Genomic DNA, 20,289 nt, shown 5'->3' on the forward strand with positions numbered 1-20,289 from the left:
TTCTGCCTAGGTTTTTTGGTACATTTGCTCTCTGCAGGCTCCCTCTTGAGTGCTTCATCTCAGAACCCAGCAGCCATGCTGTGAGAAGCCCAGTTCACAAAGAGAGCCCTCACTAGGTTCTCTGGCCAATAGTCACAGCTGAACCTAGCTTTTGAGCTATTCCAGCATACAAGCCAGGTAGATGAGTGACGATGTCCCCAGATGAGTTCAACTCCCAGCATTTTGAGTTGTCCCCAGGCATTTGAGTCTTTCCAGCTGAGGTCCCAGATATTGTGGAGCAAAGACACATGAGTGTAATAAAATGATTATTGTTTTACACCACTATGTTGGGGTGATTTATTGTGCAGCAATAAATAAGCATAGCTTCTATTTGGCCTGTCTGGTAGGGACCACTATAGCCTAGTAAGTTCTAAAACCTCTACAGATTGGGACAGTGATAGCTCCTTTTCCCCAGTGATAAGAGTCTGGTGCTAGACGGCTGTTCCTGTGTCCAGAATCAAAACTGGGTTTCAAGTGGATTTCAGCTTCCGGACATGTTTTGAGCATTTGGCTCACACTCGTTTTGTGTGTCTTACTTGCTCTCTGTCCTGTAAGCCTGAACCCAAACTGGTTGGCTGAGAACAGTGGTCTCCTAACTCATTATTGTTACTCTCTTTTCTTGAGGCCAAACCTTGCCTCTATCATCCCTCATACTGACTCTAACATGCCTATCTGGCCTACGGCAGCCAAGCCATTCACTAGAAGCTGAGCCCTGCTACTGGCCCAGAAGCCCCATTGCCCATTCTACCCTCTTGTTCAGGACCACTCAAAGACTGATTCCAGAACAGGCTGTCAGCCAAGCTTTGCCTTCTTGGACTCTGGCCCCTCCTTAAAGGGGTGCAGCTCTTTCTTCATTACCAGCCATCCTACAAAGTACAGCCCTTCTCCTTACCAGGATTTGTTGGCAAACAGCATGGCTAGACCTACCCTCTTCATTGCAATTAGTCTCAACAAATAGCCTAATAGCAGACACACTTTCAGAGATGTGGAGGCAAAATGATCAGTGTGAGTCAGTGTTCCCTAGGGGCAAGTGAACCTCCCTGAAGCTCAGAGGCAGAGGCACCAGGAGTTCCTGGGGCAGCTGTGCTGGAGATTCTGTCATTCTGTCCTAAGCATCATTCATGTTGAGAAGTAAGCAGGGACAGATGCAGTGTTTGGTTAGGCCAGTCCTGTGCTGTGGAAGGGCATTTCTTCTAGTTGCTATGTGAAGCAACCAAGCCCGGTTCTCTGTTCCTCCCAAAGATCTGTAAACTGTCTGAAATCTTTTAATAAAACCTTCCTGCTTAAATGAACCACAGTGGTTTTTGTCTGGAATTAAAAACACTAAATTTACCATCTTCCAACATCTTGTGACTGTGTGAATCAATCAGAAAATCCTAGAGCTGTAGGCAGTTTATTTAATTTTTGTTTGCAGGTCCTGACAGAAAGTATATACCATTAATATTGAAGATCAACTATAAGCCTTACCATGGTAGTAGAAAATTAGCAAGTCCTATGCAGTTACAAACAATGACCAACCAATCAGGTGACATATTCAAATACCATTACTTTCAGTAAAACTTTTAATGTTAATATTAATAATGTTAAGTAATAAAGGTATTAATATTGATAAAAAGTTTTAATCATTATAAAATAAATGTATGATTTACCTTAAAATTTAATATTTATCTCCCCTTTAAAATTTGTTTTGGGAAAAATGTTTTGTAAGGAATATATCTTACAGTAATACACTTACATAACTTATTAATCTTTGCCATGCAATTTTGGAATTGCATGGCAAAAATACTTTTACTGATTAGGATGCAAAAAGTTTAGAAACTATTGCTTATCAAAAAGTTTAGAAACCGGACAGGCAGGGTGGCTCACGCCTGTAATCCCAGCATTTTGAGAGCCTGAGGCAGTCAGACTGATCGAGGCCAGGAGTTTGAAATCAGCCTGGCCAACACGGTGAAACCCCGTCTCTACTAAAAATACAGAAAATTAGCTGGATGTGGTGGTGCACGCCTGTATTCCCAGCTACTGGGGAGGTTGAGGCACAAGAACTGCTTGAACCCAGGAGGCAGAGGTTGCAGTGAGCCAAGATCGTGCCACTGCACTCCAGCCTGGGTGACAGAGTGAGACTCTGTCTCAAAAAACAAACAAACAAAAGAGTTTAGAAGAGTTTGTATAGGGGAGGAGCCAAGATGGCCGAATAGGAACAGCTCCAGTCTACAGCTCCCAGCATGAGCGACGCAGAAGACCGGTGATTTCTGCATTTCCATCTGAGGTACCGGGTGCATCTCACTAGGGAGTGCCAGACAGTGGGCGCAGGCCAGTGGGTGCGCGCACCGTGCGCGAGCCGAAGCAGGGCGAGGCATTGCCTCACCTGGGAAGCGCAAGGGGTCAGGGAGTTCCCTTTCCGAGTCAAAGAAAGGGGTGACGGACGCACCTGGAAAATCGGGTCACTCCCACCCGAATATTGCGCTTTTCAGACCGGCTTAAAAAACGGCGCACCACGAGTCTATATCCCACACCTGGCTCGGAGGGTCCTACGCCCACGGAGTCTCGCTGATTGCTAGCACAGCAGTCTGAGATCAAACTGCAAGGCGGCAACGAGGCTGGGGGAGGGGCGCCCGCCATTGCCCAGGCTTGATTAGGTAAACAAAGCAGCCAGGAAGCTCGAACTGGGTGGAGCCCACCACAGCTCAAGGAGGCCTGCCTGCCTCTGTAGGCTCCACCTCTGGGGGCAGGGCACAGACAAACAAAAAGACAGCAGTAACCTCTGCAGACTTAAATGTCCCTGTCTGACAGCTTTGAAGAGAGCAGTGGTTCTCCCAGCACGCAGCTGGAGATCTGAGAACCGGCAGACTGCCTCCTCAAGTGGGTCCCTGACCCCTGACCCCCGAGCAGCCTAACTGGGAGGCACCCCCCAGCAGGGGCACACTGACACCTCACACAGCAGGGTATTCCAACAGACTTGCAGCTGAGGGTCCTGTCTGTTAGAAGGAAAACTAACAAACAGAAAGGACATCCACACCGAAAACCCATCTGTACCTCACCATCATCAAAGACCAAAAGTAGATAAAACCACAAAGATGGGGAAAAAATAGAACAGAAAAACTGGAAACTCTAAAACGCAGAGCGCCTCTCCTCCTTCAAAGGAACGCAGTTCCTCACCAGCAACAGAACAAAGCTGGATGGAGAATGACTTTGACGAGCTGAGAGAAGAAGGCTTCAGACGATCAAATTACTCTGAGCTACAGGAGGACATTCAAACCAAAGGCAAAGAAGTTGAAAACTTTGAAAAAAATTTAGAAGAATGTATAACTAGAATAACCAATACAGAGAAGTGCTTAAAGGAGCTGATGGAGCTGAAAACCAAGGCTCGAGAACTACGTGAAGAATGCAGAAGCCTCAGGAGCCGATGTGATCAACTGGAAGAAAGGGTATCAGCAATGGAAGATGAAATGAATGAAATGAAGTGAGAAGGGAAGTTTAGAGAAAAAAGAATAAAAAGAAATGAGCAAAGCCTCCAAGAAATATGGGACTATGTGAAAAGACCAAATCTATGTCTGATTGGTGTACCTGAAAGTGATGGGGAGAATGGAACCAAGTTGGAAAACACGCTGCAGGATATTATCCAGGAGAACTTCCCCAATCTAGCAAGGCAGGCCAACGTTCAGATTCAGGAAATACAGAGAACGCCACAAAGATACTCCTCAAGAAGAGCAACTCCAAGACACATAATTGTCAGATTCACCAAAGTTGAAATGAAGGAAAAAATGTTAAGGGCAGCCAGAGAGAAAGGTCGGGTTACCCTCAAAGGGAAGCCCATCAGACTAACAGCGGATCTCTCGGCAGAAACCCTACAAGCCAGAAGAGAGTGGGGGCCAATATTCAACATTCTTAAAGAAAAGAATTTTCAAACCAGAATTTCATATCCAGCCAAACTAAGCTTCATAAGTGAAGGAGAAATAAAATACTTTACAGACAAGCAAATGCTGACCGATTTTGTCACCACCAGGCCTGCCCTAAAAGAGCTCCTGAAGGAAGCACTAAACATGGAAAGGAACAACCGGTACCAGCCGCTGCAAAATCATGCCACAATGTAAAGACCATCGAGACTAGGAAGAAACTGCATCAACTAACGAGCAAAATCACCAGCTATCATCATAATGACAGGATCAAATTCACACATAACAATATTAACTTTAAATATAAATGGACTAAATTCTCCAATTAAAAGACACAGACTGGCAAATTGGATAAAGAGTCAAGATCCATCAGTGTGCTGTATTCAGGAAACCCATCTCACCTGCAGAGACACACATAGGCTCAAAATAAAAGGATGGAGGAAGATCTGCCAAGCAAATGGAAAACAAAAAAAGGCAGGGGTTGCAATCCTAGTCTCTGATAAAACAGACTTTAAACCAACAAAGATCAAAAGAGACAAAGAAGGCCATTACATAATGGTCAAGGGATCAATTCAACAAGAAGAGCTAACTATCCTAAATATATATGCACCCAATACAGGAGCACCCAGATTCATAAAGCAAGTCCTGAGTGACCTACAAAGAGACTTAGAGTCCCACACATTAATAATGGGAGACTTTAACACCCCACTGTCAACATTAGACAGATCAACGAGACAGAAAGTCAACAAGGATACCCAGGAATTGAACTCAGCTCTGCACCAAGCCGACCTAATAGACATCTACAGAACTCTCCACCCCAAATCAACAGAATATACATTTTTTTCAGCACCACACCACACCTATTCCAAAATTGACCACATAGTTGGAAGTAAAGCTCTCCTCAGCAAATGTAAAAGAACAGAAATTATAACAAACTATCTCTCAGACCACAGTGCAATCAAACTAGAACTCAGGATTAAGAATCCCACTCAAAGCCGCTCAACTACATGGAAACTGAACAACCTGCTCCTGAATGACTACTGGGTACATAACGAAATGAAGGCAGAAATAAAGATGTTCTTTGAAACCAACGAGAACAAAGACACCACATACCAGAATCTCTGGGACGCATTCAAAGCAGTGTGTAGAGGGAAATTTATAGCACTAAATGCCCACAAGAGAAAGCAGGAAAGATCCAAAATTGACACCCTAACATCACAATTAAAAGAACTAGAAAAGCAAGAGCAAACACATTCAAAAGCTAGCAGAAGGCAAGAAATAACTAAAATCAGAGCAGAACTGAAGGGAATAGAGACACAAAAAACCCTTCAAAAAATCAATGAATCCAGGAGCTGGTTTTTTGAAAGGATCAACAAAATTGATAGACCGCTAGCAAGACTAATAAAGAAAAAAAGAGAGAAGAATCAAATAGACACAATAAAAAATGATAAAGGGGATATCACCACCGATCCCACAGAAATACAAACTACCATCAGAGAATACTACAAACACCTCTACGCAAATAAACTAGAAAATCTAGAAGAAATGGATAAATTCCTCGACACATACACTCTCCCAAGACTAAACCAGGAAGAAGTTGAATCTCTGAATAGACCAATAACAGGAGCTGAAATTGTAGCAATAATCAATAGTTCAACAACCAAAAAGAGTCCAGGACCAGATGGATTCACAGCCGAATTCTACCAGAGGTACAAGGAGGAACTGGTACCATTCCTTCTGAAACTATTCCAATCAATAGAAAAAGAGGGAATCCTCCCTAACTCATTTTATGAGGCCAGCATCATTCTGATACCAAAGCCGGGCAGAGACACAACCAAAAAAGAGAATTTTAGACCAATATCCTTGATGAACATTGATGCAAAAATCCTCAATAAAATACTGGCAAACTGAATCCAGCAGCACATCAAAAAGCTTATCCACCATGATCAAGTGGGCTTCATCCCTGGGATGCAAGGCTGGTTCAATATACGCAAATCAATAAATGTAATCCAGAATATAAACAGAGCCAAAGACAAAAACCACATGATTATCTCAATAGATGCAGAAAAGGCCTTTGACAAAATTCAACAACCCTTCATGCTAAAAACTCTCAATAAATTAGGTATTGATGGGACGTATTTCAAAATAATAAGAGCTATCTATGACAAACCCAAGCCAATATCATACTGAATGGGCAAAAACTGGAAGCATTCCCTTTGAAAACTGGCACAAGACAGGGATGCCCTCTCTCACCACTCCTATTCAACATAGTGTTGGAAGTTCTGGCCAGGGCAATTAGGCAGGAGAAGGAAATAAAGGGTATTCAATTAGGAAAAGAGGAAGTCAAATTGTCCCTGTTTGCAGACGACATGATTGTATATCTAGAAAACCCCATTGTCTCAGCCCAAAATCTCCTTAAGCTGATAAGCAACTTCAGCAAAGTCTCAGGATACAAAATCAATGTACAAAAATCACAAGCATTCTTATACACCAACAACAGACAAACAGAGAGCCAAATCATGAGTGAACTCCCATTCACAATTGCTTCAAAGAGAATAAAATACCTAGGAATCCAACTTACAAGGGATGTGAAGGACCTCTTCAAGGAGAACTACAAACCACTGCTCAATGAAATAAAAGAGGATACAAACAAATGGAAGAACATTCCATGCTCATGGGTAGGAAGAATCAATATCGTGAAAATGGCCATACTGCCCAAGGTAATTTACAGATTCAATGCCATCCCCATGAAGCTACCAATGACTTTCTTCACAGAATTGGAAAAAACTACTTTAAAGTTCATATGGAACCAAAAAAGAGCCCGCATTGCCAAGTCAATCCTAAGCCAAAAGAACAAAGCTGGAGTAATCACACTACCTGACTTCAAACTATACTACAAGGCTACAGTAACCAAAACAGCATGGCACTGGTACCAAAACAGAGATATAGATCAATGGAACAGAACAGAGCCCTCAGAAATAACGCCGCATAACTACAACTATCTGATCTTTGACAAACCTGAGAAAAACAAGCAATGGGGAAAGGATTCCCTATTTAATAAATGGTGCTGGGAAAACTGGCTAGCCATATGTAGGAAGCTGAAACTGGATCCCTCCCTTACACCTTATACAAAAATCAATTCAAGATGGATTAAAGATTTAAACGTTAGACCTAAAACCATAAAAACCCTAGAAGAAAACCTAGGCATTACCATTCAGGACATAGGCATGGGCAAGGACTTCATGTCTAAAACACCAAAAGCAATGGCAACAAAAGACAAAATTGACAAATGGGATCTAATTAAACTAAAGAGCTTCTGCACAGCAAAAGAAACTACCATCAGAGTGAACAGGCAACCTACAAAATGGGAGAAAATTTTTGCAACCTACTCATCTGACAAAGGGCTAATATCCAGAATCTACAATGAACTCAAACAAATTTATAAGAAAAAAACAAACAACCCCATCAAAAAGTGGGCGAAGGACATGAACAGACACTTCTCAAAAGAAGACATTTATGCAGCCAAAAAACACATGAAAAAATGCTCATCATCACTGGCCATCAGAGAAATGCAAATCAAAACCACAATGAGATACCATCTCACACCAGTTAGAATGGCAATCATTAAAAAGTCAGGAAACAACAGGTGCTGGAGAGGATGTGGAGAAATAGGAACACTTTTACACTGTTGGTGGGACTGTAAACTAGTTCAACCATTGTGGAAGTCAGTGTGGCGATTCCTCAGGGATCTAGAACTAGAAATACCATTTGACCCAGCCATCCCATTACTGGGTATATACCCAAAGGATTATAAATCATGCTGCTATAAAGACACATGCACACGTATGTTTATTGAGGCATTATTCACAATAGCAAAGACTTGGAACCAACCCAAATGTCCAACAATGATAGACTGGATTAAGAAAATGTGGCACATATACACCATGGAATACTATGCAGCCATAAAAAATGATGAGTTCATGTCCTTTGTAGGGACATGGATGAAATTGGAAATCATCATTCTCAGTAAACTATCGCAAGAACAAAAAACCAAACACCGCATATTCTCACTCATAGGTGGGAATTGAACAATGAGATCACATGGACACAGGAAGGGGAATATCACACTCTGGGGACTGTGGTGGGGTGGGGGGAGGGGGGAGGGATAGCATTGGGAGATATACCTAATGCTAGATGACGAGTTAGTGGGTGCAGTGCACCAGCATGGCACATGTATACATATGTAACTAACCTGCACAATGTGCACATGTACCCTAAAACTTAAAGTATAATAAAAAAAAACAAAAAAAAAAGAGTTTAGAAATAACTGCTATGAATTCACTGTTGTGAATTAAAAGTATCCATTCTTTAAAGAGACTTTTAAAGGTCATCTAATGAAATCCTTCATGAAATTTTTTGATGACAGAAATCTTTCTTCAAAAAAAGCTCCTAACTACTTCTCAGATACTATACTCATTACCTAGGTGACAAAGTAACCTGTACACCAAACCCCCACAATGCACAATTTACCCACACACTAAACCTGCACATGTACTCCCTGAACCTAAACCTAAAAGTTGGAAAGAAAACAATACAAAAACAAAACAAAAAAAGCTTCAATGCCTGAAACAAACAATATACTTTGGTAGAGTCCCACCATCCACTGCTTTCCTGAAGGGTCCTGAAAAGCACTGTTTGCAAACCATGGGTACACTAGACCTCTCTCATTTTACTGATTAGGAAAGGAAATTACTTGGCCAAGAGTTATTTAATGATGGAACTGGGGCTCAACCTACATTCTCAAATCTCTTTTTGGCCAAAAATCTTTCCATCATATTACATTATTCTATTTAAATGCTAGATTTGAAAGAGTTCTGGTGATGCTTCCTAATTTGTGTTTCCTTTACAGTTCTGAAATGTTGAGAGATATTTGCAAATCTGAGGCTGGGGAGTATCTGAGAAGCTGGAGGGAAAAGTTAAATAACCTCTACCTATCACCCTGACCCCTAGCACTTCCAAGCAAAGCTGTTTATATAAGAACATTTTAAAATGAGTTCCCTGTGCATTTTGTTTCTGCTTCCTTGCCTGTTGGCTTTAGTTGAAAGAATCTGGATTGGAAGCCCAGCCAAACACTTTCATCTGATCCAATCACAATCACATCGTCATCTGATAGAAACGTGGCATCACCCAAACCTCTAGTCTCTTGTTCACACATGTGGACTCTAATCAGCAACGGAATAAGCTGTAGTGACTACAAGCAAATATCTCTGAACTTCACTGAGTTTGATGACAGTGGTAATAAAAATAGTCTTTTCCATGACGAACACTACCAGTAAGTCAACAGTTCAAGAGCGATAGTTTTAAGAGTAACTGATGCATTAGCTCTTGTCAATGAGATTCCTTTTGGCAGTAATATATTCTGCGGATTAAGTTAAACCAAATGTTTGTAACAATGGAAATTTATTCATGTTAACAGTTAGGATTATCATCCCAGTGAATATTTACTATAGTTACAGTCAAATTTACTCTTTTGGACATTGCTTATTTTCATTTCTTTGTTATAAACTCCACTAAAAGCAATAGAAAGCATCCTTTAACATTTTTAAAGTGCTGCAATTTATTTTCTTTTAAACTGGTTTTTTTCTTTTTTTTTTTTTTTTTTTTTTTTTTAGGGGCTACTCTCCCTTTGCCCATACAGTGATGGCAGTGAGCAATAAAAGTTCTGGTTGAGAAAGTTCTGTAAGTTATTTGGCCACATTTGAGCTCACCATGGCTGGATACTACATGGCATTTGTCCTTTGATTTCAATCTGTTTCCTGCCACTTGGTTACTTTGTGGTCACGTGGGTGAAAAAGAGGGCCAGTGTTGACTTTATAGCTTGAGAGCTTATCTCTCTGTTTCCTGTACCTAGAGAGAGATGGTGCAGGTACAGAAAAGTCCATACATACATAACCTTCCATGAAACAAGCCTTCTGCTAGCTTCTGCAGTCACTCTGGCAATTTGTGGTTGCAGAATTCAGCAAGACTAAGAACTAGTGCTGTGTATCACAAGCGCACTTTGTTCTTTAGAGAACTTTGCTCTGAAATTGTTCTAACTCTATATTTTTGTCAGTTGGTATTTTTGTCAGCTTTTTTATCTCAGGCTGTAAGTGACACTTTATCATGTTTTCAGTCTGTAGAATGAAAGAAAGAGAATGATAGATAATTTGCACTTTGGGTTGCTTTGCTGTTTGTTTGTTTGTTTGTTTCATCACTCTTGGCTATATAGACACAAGAGTGACAAGTATTCCCCCACAATGAAGAGTGGAGAGGAGCTTCATGAGTGGCTTCAGAGCACCTATGACTCAGATGCCTTGAGAGGGTCCCCACAGAGCCTTGCATGTAGGTGAGATGGTTCCTCACTCTTCCCGGCTACCACACCACAGCAAGCTCAGAGAAAACCAAGAGGGATGGTTGTAACAATGGAAATTTGCTCATGTTAACAGTTGGGATTTTCATCCCAGTTAATATTGACTGTAGTTACATTCAAATTTACTCTTGTGGACACTGTTTGACCAGTGGAGGAGGAAACTCATTTATTCCCAAGTCACTCCCAAGCCATCAAACAAACACCAGCTGCAGAAGAGAGCAGTTGCCCAGTGGCCCCACACCTTCCAGCTAACTGTTCCTTAAGCATGAACTGATTGCCCATCTTCCTATTACTTGGTGGCTGTTAACCATAGTTGCATCTATAATTACCTGCAAAGCTCTTTAGAACACTGATACTAAGGTTCCAATCCAAACCAACTAAATCAGAATCTTTGGGGAAGAGTCATGAACATTCCTATGTGTTAGTAGCTCCCCAGGTGATTTCCACTTACCAAAGTACCTTCTCTGTACTAAGTCTTTGACCTCATAGAGATCTTTGACCCATTGGCCCTGTTGCTTTTTCACTAATCATCACATCATCACTCTCATTTCCTCATATCCAGATTCCCATGGTCCATAATTATAATCATTTCCATGATTATAGAAATTTCTCCATTTCTCCCCATTATTATACTTTCCTGGTAAAGTCCCCTAACAGGGTTAAACTCATTGCCACAGCTACTCTATACCTGGACCAAATCTCCTGAACATTCCCATGGAAAAACACATGACCAACCATGTTAACCACTTAATTTTAGATCCATGTTTTAGAAAATCCATGGTTTAGAAACCATGTTCAAAGGAACCTGAAATTTTGTCCTTATGTTAAAAAGTCTTTACAGGTTCCATGTATGAAATAATAACAAATCTCAATTGGACACATAGCACAGCTCAAAAATCCTATTATGCTTTCAGGTTTTAAATTTCCCATACTACAGCTTCTATTCTCGCTCTCAAATCTCCTATATTCCCTTTCTCTCCCCACCACTCTTGGCTGATGATCTGGCCTCATCATTGACTGGGAAAAATACAGAAATCAGAGGAGATTCCTTATACCTCCAAACCTGCAAAACCACCCACATCTGTATTCACACTTTTTGCCCTCCCTCCATTTGCTATTCATTAAGCATCCCTGTTCCTATGAAAGGCCAGCCCTCCTCTTTGATCTGGATCTCTCCTTCTCTTATCTGTTGGGGACTTCATTCCTCCCTTCATAAGCATACGTTGCTAATTTCTTCCCAGAACTTACAAATAAGCATGTTTTAGTATCTTCCATCTTAAAACAAAACAAACCTTTCACAATTCTACATCCATCTTAGCTATCATACCATGTCCTTGCTTCTCTTCACTTTAAAACTTCTTTAAAAAGGCTTGTCTTTAGTCACTCGCCCCACTTCCTCGATACTCTAGTAAAAACACTATTATCAAGGTCAGCCTTAGCTTGCAACCATCTTTTCTTTGATATCTAAAAGGAATCTCAAGCTTAACATGTCCACAAACAATCTCTTTTTTCTAGCACTGCAAAACAATGTGGGCCTTCCTCAGTCTTCCTATTTCACTCAATGGCAGCCTTATCCACTGAGTTAAGCCTTTTTCTTCTTTATCTCATGCCCGATGTATAATCCGTCAAAGTGTTTTGTTGGCCATTCTTCCAAAATATATCATGAATCCAGTCACCTCTCTCCATTTCTTACCACTCCAATACAATCACCATGATTCCTCACTTGGACAGTCTCCTCTCTTCCACACCTGTCTCATGGCATCCATTTTCTGTACAGCGGCGTGGGTAGTCTTTTAAAAGCCTAGATGAGATCAGTTCATGTCCAATAGCTTCCTATTATTCTTAGAATATATTTAAACTTTTTCCTGGGTCTGCATGACCTGACTCTTGCCTACTCCTCCAACCTCATCTCAGATCACTCCTACCACCCACTCCCAGTTTGCCCCAGCATAGAGGGCCCCTGGATGGTCCAAAATCACTCCGTACTCAGACAAAACTCAAACCCTTTAGCTCAGCTTGTTCTACCTAAAATTCTTGCACCCCAGACCTTCTTTTGGCCAGCTCCTTCTTATCTCAGCTCAACAGTCACTTCCTCTCCCTGACCACTCACTCTAAAGTAGCCACCACCTAACACATCACTTTTTATTACATTATTTAGTTTTCTTCATGGCAAAAAAAAAAAAAAAGAAGAAGAAGAAGTGATTTTAGTTTCCATTCCAAAAGTAGGTAAAGCTACTTTTAAAAATATCCTCCAGCAATTTGTGTGAAAAAGGAAATGCTGGGCCAGTCGTGGTGGCTCACACCTGTAATCCCAGCACTTTGGGAGGCCGAGGCAGGTGGATCACCTGAGGTCAGGAGTTTGAGACCAGCCTGGCCTACATGGTGAAACATACATGATAAAAATATAAAATTAGCCCAGTGTGGTGGCGCATGCCTGTAATCCCAGCACTTTGGGAGGCCGAGGTGGGTGGATCATGAGGTCGGGAGTTCAAGACCAGCCTGACCAACATGGTGAAACCCCATCTCTACTAAAAATACAAAAATTAGCTGGGCATGGTGGCGCACACCTGTATTCCCAGCTACTCAGGAGTCTGAGGCAGGAGAATTGCTTGAACACAGGAGACAGAGGTTGCAGTGAGCCGAGATCGCACCAATGCACTCCAGCCTGGGCGACAGAGCAAGATTTCATCTCAAAAATAACAATAATAATAATAATAATACCCGACCTTTAAGAGCACTTCCTGAATTGCGCAGGTAAGTATTACTGACTTTCTCAAATGGCCTTTGGAGAGGTTTGAGATTTAGTGAGAATAATCACAATTTTAGTTGTAGCTCTGACTATTCAGGTCCTTTGACTAGGTCACATGGCCCAAAGAATTTTGGATCATATATTCTATGTTTCTCTGTCTCCACAAGAAGCACCAGCTCAGGGGACTCCTTTTTGTGACAGTGTTTAACCTACCAGTGTCTATGATTTGGAGCAAGCTTAATGATAATCTAAAGGATGATCTGGTCCTTACTTCTTATAGTGTAAAAGTCCTCACATGGTTAATTTAAGAAATGACTCTTTTATACATTAAATTTCCTTTTAATAAAAGGATATAACTAATTTTGTCTCCTTCTAAGTGATAGCACCACTTCTGCTTCAGAAGCTAATTAGGAGATGCCCAGTTTGAGTTCTTTGATACCATTGATGAATGAGAAATGTACATGGGTAATTTTTCTTTACTGCTAATAGAAGTTAAACAGCACATGTCCTGTGGAATAAAATTCTCTTCCCTGCAATAATAATAGCTGTTTTGTTTTGACTTCAGAAATTCTGAAATCTGTGTGTAGCCAACAGTAATTACTGCTCATTACAATAATCACCATCGACTTGATCAGTCCCCTGGAACACAAGTCAGGACCTAAGGAAATGGATTTTTACCTAGGGTGATGAAGAATTTTACCTGAGGCCCAGGGCAGCCTCTCTGGGAGCCAAATTTGGTGACTGATACTAGAAGCTGTTAATATGTTGAATTCCTAAGTCAGAATTTTTGTTTTAAGTGTTTTCTGAGTGAAACCATATTCAAAGGAACCTGAAATTTTGACCTCATGTTAAAAATTCTTTACAGGTTCCATGTATGAAATAATAAAAAGAGCAAGTGTGAATAAGTGAGAAGTTTGTCAAGCAAGGAAAGTAATAGCAGCAACCATATTACAGAGATGTGGAGACCAACCTCTACTTCTTGGTTTAGGGGTTCCCTTCAAAATAACATGTATGGCTAGGAGAGGGGTAGGTGTTGGAGTGAAAGCAAGCATTGGGGGTGGCGTACAGAATGAAATCATAAAGTCTCAGGATTGACATGGATCTGAGGCTTAAATCCCCTTTCCAGTATTAGAGTGAACCTTTACTATGTGCCAAACATTAGGTATATTTAGAGTTCAGAAGCAAAGGAGTTGGCTCTGTCTTTAAGGAGTTCATAGTTTTGACCAGACTATCGGTTCAGATGCATTCTTTCAGGAAGGCATTCAGCTACATTCAAATAAAAAACAAAAACGCATTTACAGAGGCTTAACTAAATAGAGTAATTTTCCTCCCAAATGTTAGGTCCAGAGGTGGGCAACTCAGAGCCATTCAGGCTCTGGCTCCAAATATCTTTGTGCTCCACCATCATTAATATATGACTTCCTTCCACAAGCTAGTCACTCATGGGTGCCAGGTAGCAGCTCTACTCCAGCTGCATGCCTCCTGCCAGGAAAGAAAGGAGAGAAAGAACAAAGAGGAGGGTAAGAAAGCTGCCTGAATCAGGAAAATAAAATCTTTCCCAGAAATCTCTAGCAGACATTGATTTCTGTCTCCTGGCCAGAATTGTGTAGTAAGGCCACTCTATCTGCAAAGAATTTTGGGAAGGTAAGTACTTAAGCTAGGCATATTGCCACTCCAAGCAAAAATAGAGACTCTTGTAAGAAAAAAAAAATGGGAGAATGGGGATTGGTTAACAAGCAGCATCTGCCATAGACCAACAAGAACACTGACAATGAAACCATGGTATAATTTGTACATAATACAAATTTCATGCAGAAAAGCACAGAACTCTCTATCTTCAGGTTAGGGGGAGGTGTCATGGAGGGTTTCACTGAGGAGGGTAACATTTGGCTGAGTCTCAAAGAATGAATTAAATTGTCAAAGTACAAAAGAAAAATAGTTGTTCATCAAAATATTTTTATTTGCCACTGGCAGAAATGTAGCTTGAACCCAAAAGTACCAAGGTAAGGTTTCAAGCATTGCTGGCTCCAGTCACCCAATTGATGTCACCAAGACCCAATCTCTCTCTCTCTTTCTCTCCATCCTTTGATTCTATAATAGCCAGCAAGCAGCTCCAGATTTACATTACACCCTATCAGCAGCTTTAGCAGTTCCAATAAAGCTCTGAGTATGCATCTCACTGGAACAACTTGGGATATGTGTCCATCACTCTGACCTATCTCCTTGGACAGGAAAATGAGATATGTTGATTGGACAAGGCTGGGCTCCATGTCCACCTCTGGAATATTATTCAAAACACTTGAACTAAAAGCAAGAAAGAAGGTTCTCCAAAGGAAAACTGTGAGTAAGTAAAGTAGGCAAAAAGTACAAATGTCTCTTACAGAGAACAATTATTTTAGTGATGTTTAGAAGGTGTAATGCACAAGATACAGTTGAACAATTGGCTGATTTTGGTGAGGGGAGGGAAGATTCTGAAATGACACTGGAATTCAGGCTTAGGTACTTAAGTATGATGTTGTCATGAAACAAGCTGATGACTACACAAACAGAACCAGTCAAGGATGGGCAGGTGAAGAGGTTGGAGGCAATAATAATAACGATAAATAATACTAACTATACTCCCTGGCAAACCAAGGGAAAGGAACAGCAGGAAGCAGTTTCCAGTGCTTAAAACAAACCACTGGACTAGAAATATTGATTTTTAAAAATCTTCAGGCCTGGCCAGGTGCGGTGGCTCACACCTGTAATCCCAGCACTTTTGGAGGCCAAGGCAGGAGGATCACCTGAGGTCAGGAGCCTGGTCAACATGGTGAAACCCCCATCTCTACTAAAAAATGCAAAAATTAGCCAGGCATGGTGGCAGGCACCTGTAATCTCAGCTACTCAGGAGACTGAGGCAGGAGAATTGCTTGAACCCAGGAGGTGGAGGTTGCAGTTAGCTGAAATCGTGCCATTGCACTCCAGCCTGGGTGATAAGAGCAAAACTCCGTTAAAAAAAAAAAAAAAAACGCACAAACAAACAAACTTCAGGTCCATCTTTGTTTACATGGGCATTTAAAAATGTATTTATTTTAATGTGCAAAGCACTCTGATTTTAAAAATTTCCCAAATACATCCTATCTCATCTGTCATCTATTATACTTTCAGTTCTCCTTTCTTTTTTCTCTTAGGTAACTAATGTCTTAAAACATCAAAACGAGGGGTTAAATTAGCAACAGTTTGAGATGAACGGTGATTGGAACCTGCAGCCATAATGAAAAATAGCATCTAAATGTTTGAAGCTACATGAAGCCAATAAGCTGTCTCTAAATCCAGTTTAATTAATGTGCAGCCTTTGTCTACTCCAAAGTGTCTGAATAAATCCTCAAAACCAAATTCGTATTTTAAAATACGAGTTGCCCAATATGATGTGAGTTAGCATACAAGCAGATTAAGATGGTGTTTCCATTTTGAATGAATATAATTCAAGATTTACAAATCTTAAACTAGATTTTTCTTACACAAATTTGGTCTTTCTTTTAGCTATAACAGAGAATTAGTGACCTGGTTTCAAAAGAAAAAGGACAATTTTTAAAAATACTTCCTAAATCTCATTAGTTGTATTAATCTCTTAAACTGAAAAAGACTATTTTGAAGCTATCTCTGGAATTAGCACTTCTACAATACTGCCATAACATATTGATATGAATATTACTCAAAATCGATAAGAAATTCCATTTCTATGCATGTTATGAATAACACAGATTATTCTGAAAGAAGAATAACATACGTAATATTATTACATATGTTACAGATACTGTTAGGTGTCTAGCCTACAACCATTTCTCCCTTTTCTCCTTTCTTACAGAACCTTGGCTGAGTACAAGTATATGCTGTCCTTCCGAGGCCTTCTGCAGCAGGGAAGATTGGCCCTGCCCCAATTTCAGAGGATGAATCCTGATTGGTCTAAGATCACCACACTAGTCCTGTTGCCTTCACAGTGACTAGTGAAGCATGTGCTTGTGTGATTTTAGAAGTCAGCTGGGAAGCAACTGGGAAGAATTTCCTTACTCAAAAAGAAGCACAAGAGAGAGGCCATCTAGTATTTCTTAGAGGTTATCTTATCTGCATGTAGCCTGCAATTGCTATAACTACCTTGCCACCTTGAAGTAAGCTAGCCTGAAGATAGCCAATATACTGGATAAAACTTTTGTTTAAAGATTTATCTGCTTAATATTATCTCTTCTGAAAGGTAGCTGTACTCCATAAATCAGATTGTGAATCAGCTTCTTGTTTGATAAGCGAAGATATCAAACATCAAATTGGTTGTTGCAAATCAAATGTTCACATCAATATGTTTTTTGTTCCACATCTAATCAGGAGTGGTGGTAATCTGTCTAGAATAATTTCCAAAGCTGTGTTTAGGTGTGGATTTATTTAATGCATTTGAGAGCACAAAACTTCTCAGGGTAGATATGTAGAACTAATAACATAATTGGAAACTTATTAAGGAGTGACGTTTTATTTAGATATTCTTTAGTCTACAGAAAATGAGTGAATAGAACCACATATTACTAATTTAAAACAATTATCCAGCTAATTTGCTTTTTTGAATAGTGTGAGTTTAAGTTTTGATATTTATTAGTGTAATATCCCTATGGAACCATTTAATCATAGAAGACTAATCTTTCCCTACAACATTCTCTCCTAAATAAGACTTTCCTGAGAAACAAACTAGAATATTTTTATTCTTGAACCGAGGACTCACTTATCTTATCTAGGCTGACTTACTGGATAAGGCCATAGCATCAGTCTATGTGAATCACCCAATTTTCATATTATCCAAAGATACATTCTTTTCAACAGTGCAGCCTCTTCAGCAATCAGTTCCAAAATATGTAGGTCAAAGGGGGAACTGAGTGAGAGGATGCAATGGCTTAATTCCATGTGTAATCACTCACAGAAAAGTCACACACACACACACACACACACACACAGACAAAAATGTCCTCTGACAGTTACTGGCATCATGTTTAGATATGAGATGGTGTGCTTAGAACACGGCTTCAGAAATCAATACATCAACAATTAGCTGGGCATGGGTCATTGTACCTTAAAAAGAATAACAATGGGGTGGCATTGCCCGAGAAGACCAACTGTCTGGTTACCTGACAGGTGGGCATTACCTTCATGACATCACAGAAGTGAAAGGAATGATCCCTGGCTCTATAATTTTTTTTCTGGAGACAGAGTCTCACTTTGTCACCCAGGCTGGAGTGCAGTGGCATAAACATGACTCACTGCAGACTTGACCTCCTGGACTCAAGTGATCCTCCCACCTCAGCCCCCCAAGTAGCTGGGACTACAGGTATGAGCCACCATGCCTGGCTAATTTTTGTATTTTTTGTAGAGACAGGGTTTCACGTGGCTGGCCTGGAACTCCTGGGCTCAAGCAAGCCCCTTCCACCCACTAGTTTTCCAACGTGCTGGGATTACAAGCATGAGCCACTATGCCAGCCTAGATTTAAAAATTTGATCTCCACAGTGCATCAGAGTTATCAAGAAGACTACTTCATGATAAACACACAGGGGACTGATATGTAAATTAGAATGCCATTTATTCATTTAAATAGGAAATATGACTGTGACAAAAGAATGATCATTTTGGCATGTCCCGTGGTCTTAGTTCATTTCTGCTGCTGCAACAAAATACCTTAGACTGGGTAGTTTACAAACAGCAGAAATTTATTGGTCATAGCTCTGGAGGCTAGGCAGACCAAGATCAAGGCACCAGCAGATTCAGCGTCTGCTTTATAGATGGAGCCTCCTTGCTATGTCCTCACATGGCAGAAGAGGGCACACAGGCTCCCTCAAGCCTCTTTTATAAGGGCACTAATCCCATTCATAATCCCCTCCCACAGGCCCCAACTCTTTATAACATCACCTTGGGGAGTTAGGTTTCAATATATGAATTTCAGGGGAAGGGGACAGAAACACTCAAACCACAGCACCTGTACGTGCCTTGTAGGTAGTTAATATTTAAATCAAATTATAACCAGAAGATTGCTTGGTGAGCAGTAAGAAATTTGAATGAATGGATTTATTTTATATGATTCAAATCTTTGATGGCCCTGGATTTTGATAGCCTAATTCAGTCATTTTCAAAATCTATTATTATTTTATCAACAATAGGACATATTTTTAGGATAAAGTCTTACAAAGAACACATATACAGGTATATAGATATAAACATATAGATACCTCGGCCTTCTCTCTCTCTGTTCTGATTGAACTAAGGTAGCCTATTCAGATCCCCACATGCTCAGCAACCCCATATACTGGAGGGAACCAGCAGAGGATGGGGAGAGGAATTCCAGTAATGAGGGAACATATGCAGAGATACAGAAGCATGACAGATGGTGGCACATTCTGGAAACTACAAGTGGTTGGATAAGAATGGAATATAGTATTTGTGAGGGGATGGAGAGAGAGGAGGCGGTAAGAGGTCAGGCTGAAGAAGCAAGCAAGAAAAAAACGATGAAGGAAAGACTTTGTAGACTTTGCTAAATTATTTAGATCTTATATAGAAAGCTATGGAAAGCCTTAAAAGTATGTTCAGGGGGCCATAGCATGATCAAATTTCAGTTTTGGAAATATCACTATGGCTGAAAAATAGAAAATTAGGTTATCAGGAAGGGTACAATATATGCAAGGAATATCGAAGGCCTGAATCCCATGTTCCTATTGCCCCACCCTTACCGCTTTACCCCTAGGACTTCACTGCCATAACCAGTCTTCCAGATGCCAGCACCTGCATTGCATCACCTGAGAGCTATCTCCTACTGCTGGAGCCCACTTTGTTGGCTGTGGCAGGCTTGAAGTGTCAGAGAATGAATGTCCCAGCAACATCTTCTATATCAGTGACAAAGAGACTGGTGTATAACTCTGGAGCATGTGTTAGTCCCAGTTGGGATTAAACTCCAGTGGCCCACGGTGGTAGCCATCTTGACAACAGAACTTTTGGCTATTTGCCCTTCCTTGTCTCACTTCCCCACTCTTCTATCCTTGTGGTTCTCACCTCCCAAATAAATTATTTGCACTCAAACCTTTATCTCAGAATCTGCTTTTAGAGAAATACAAAGACAAGGCTACCATAGCTGAAGGATGATGAGGGCTTGAATTAAGCAAAGAGCGGGAGACAAGGGAAGCAGGCTAGAGAT

This window comes from Homo sapiens, chromosome 3, assembly GCF_000001405.40.
Source record: "Homo sapiens chromosome 3, GRCh38.p14 Primary Assembly".
NCBI classification, from domain to species: domain Eukaryota; kingdom Metazoa; phylum Chordata; class Mammalia; order Primates; family Hominidae; genus Homo; species Homo sapiens.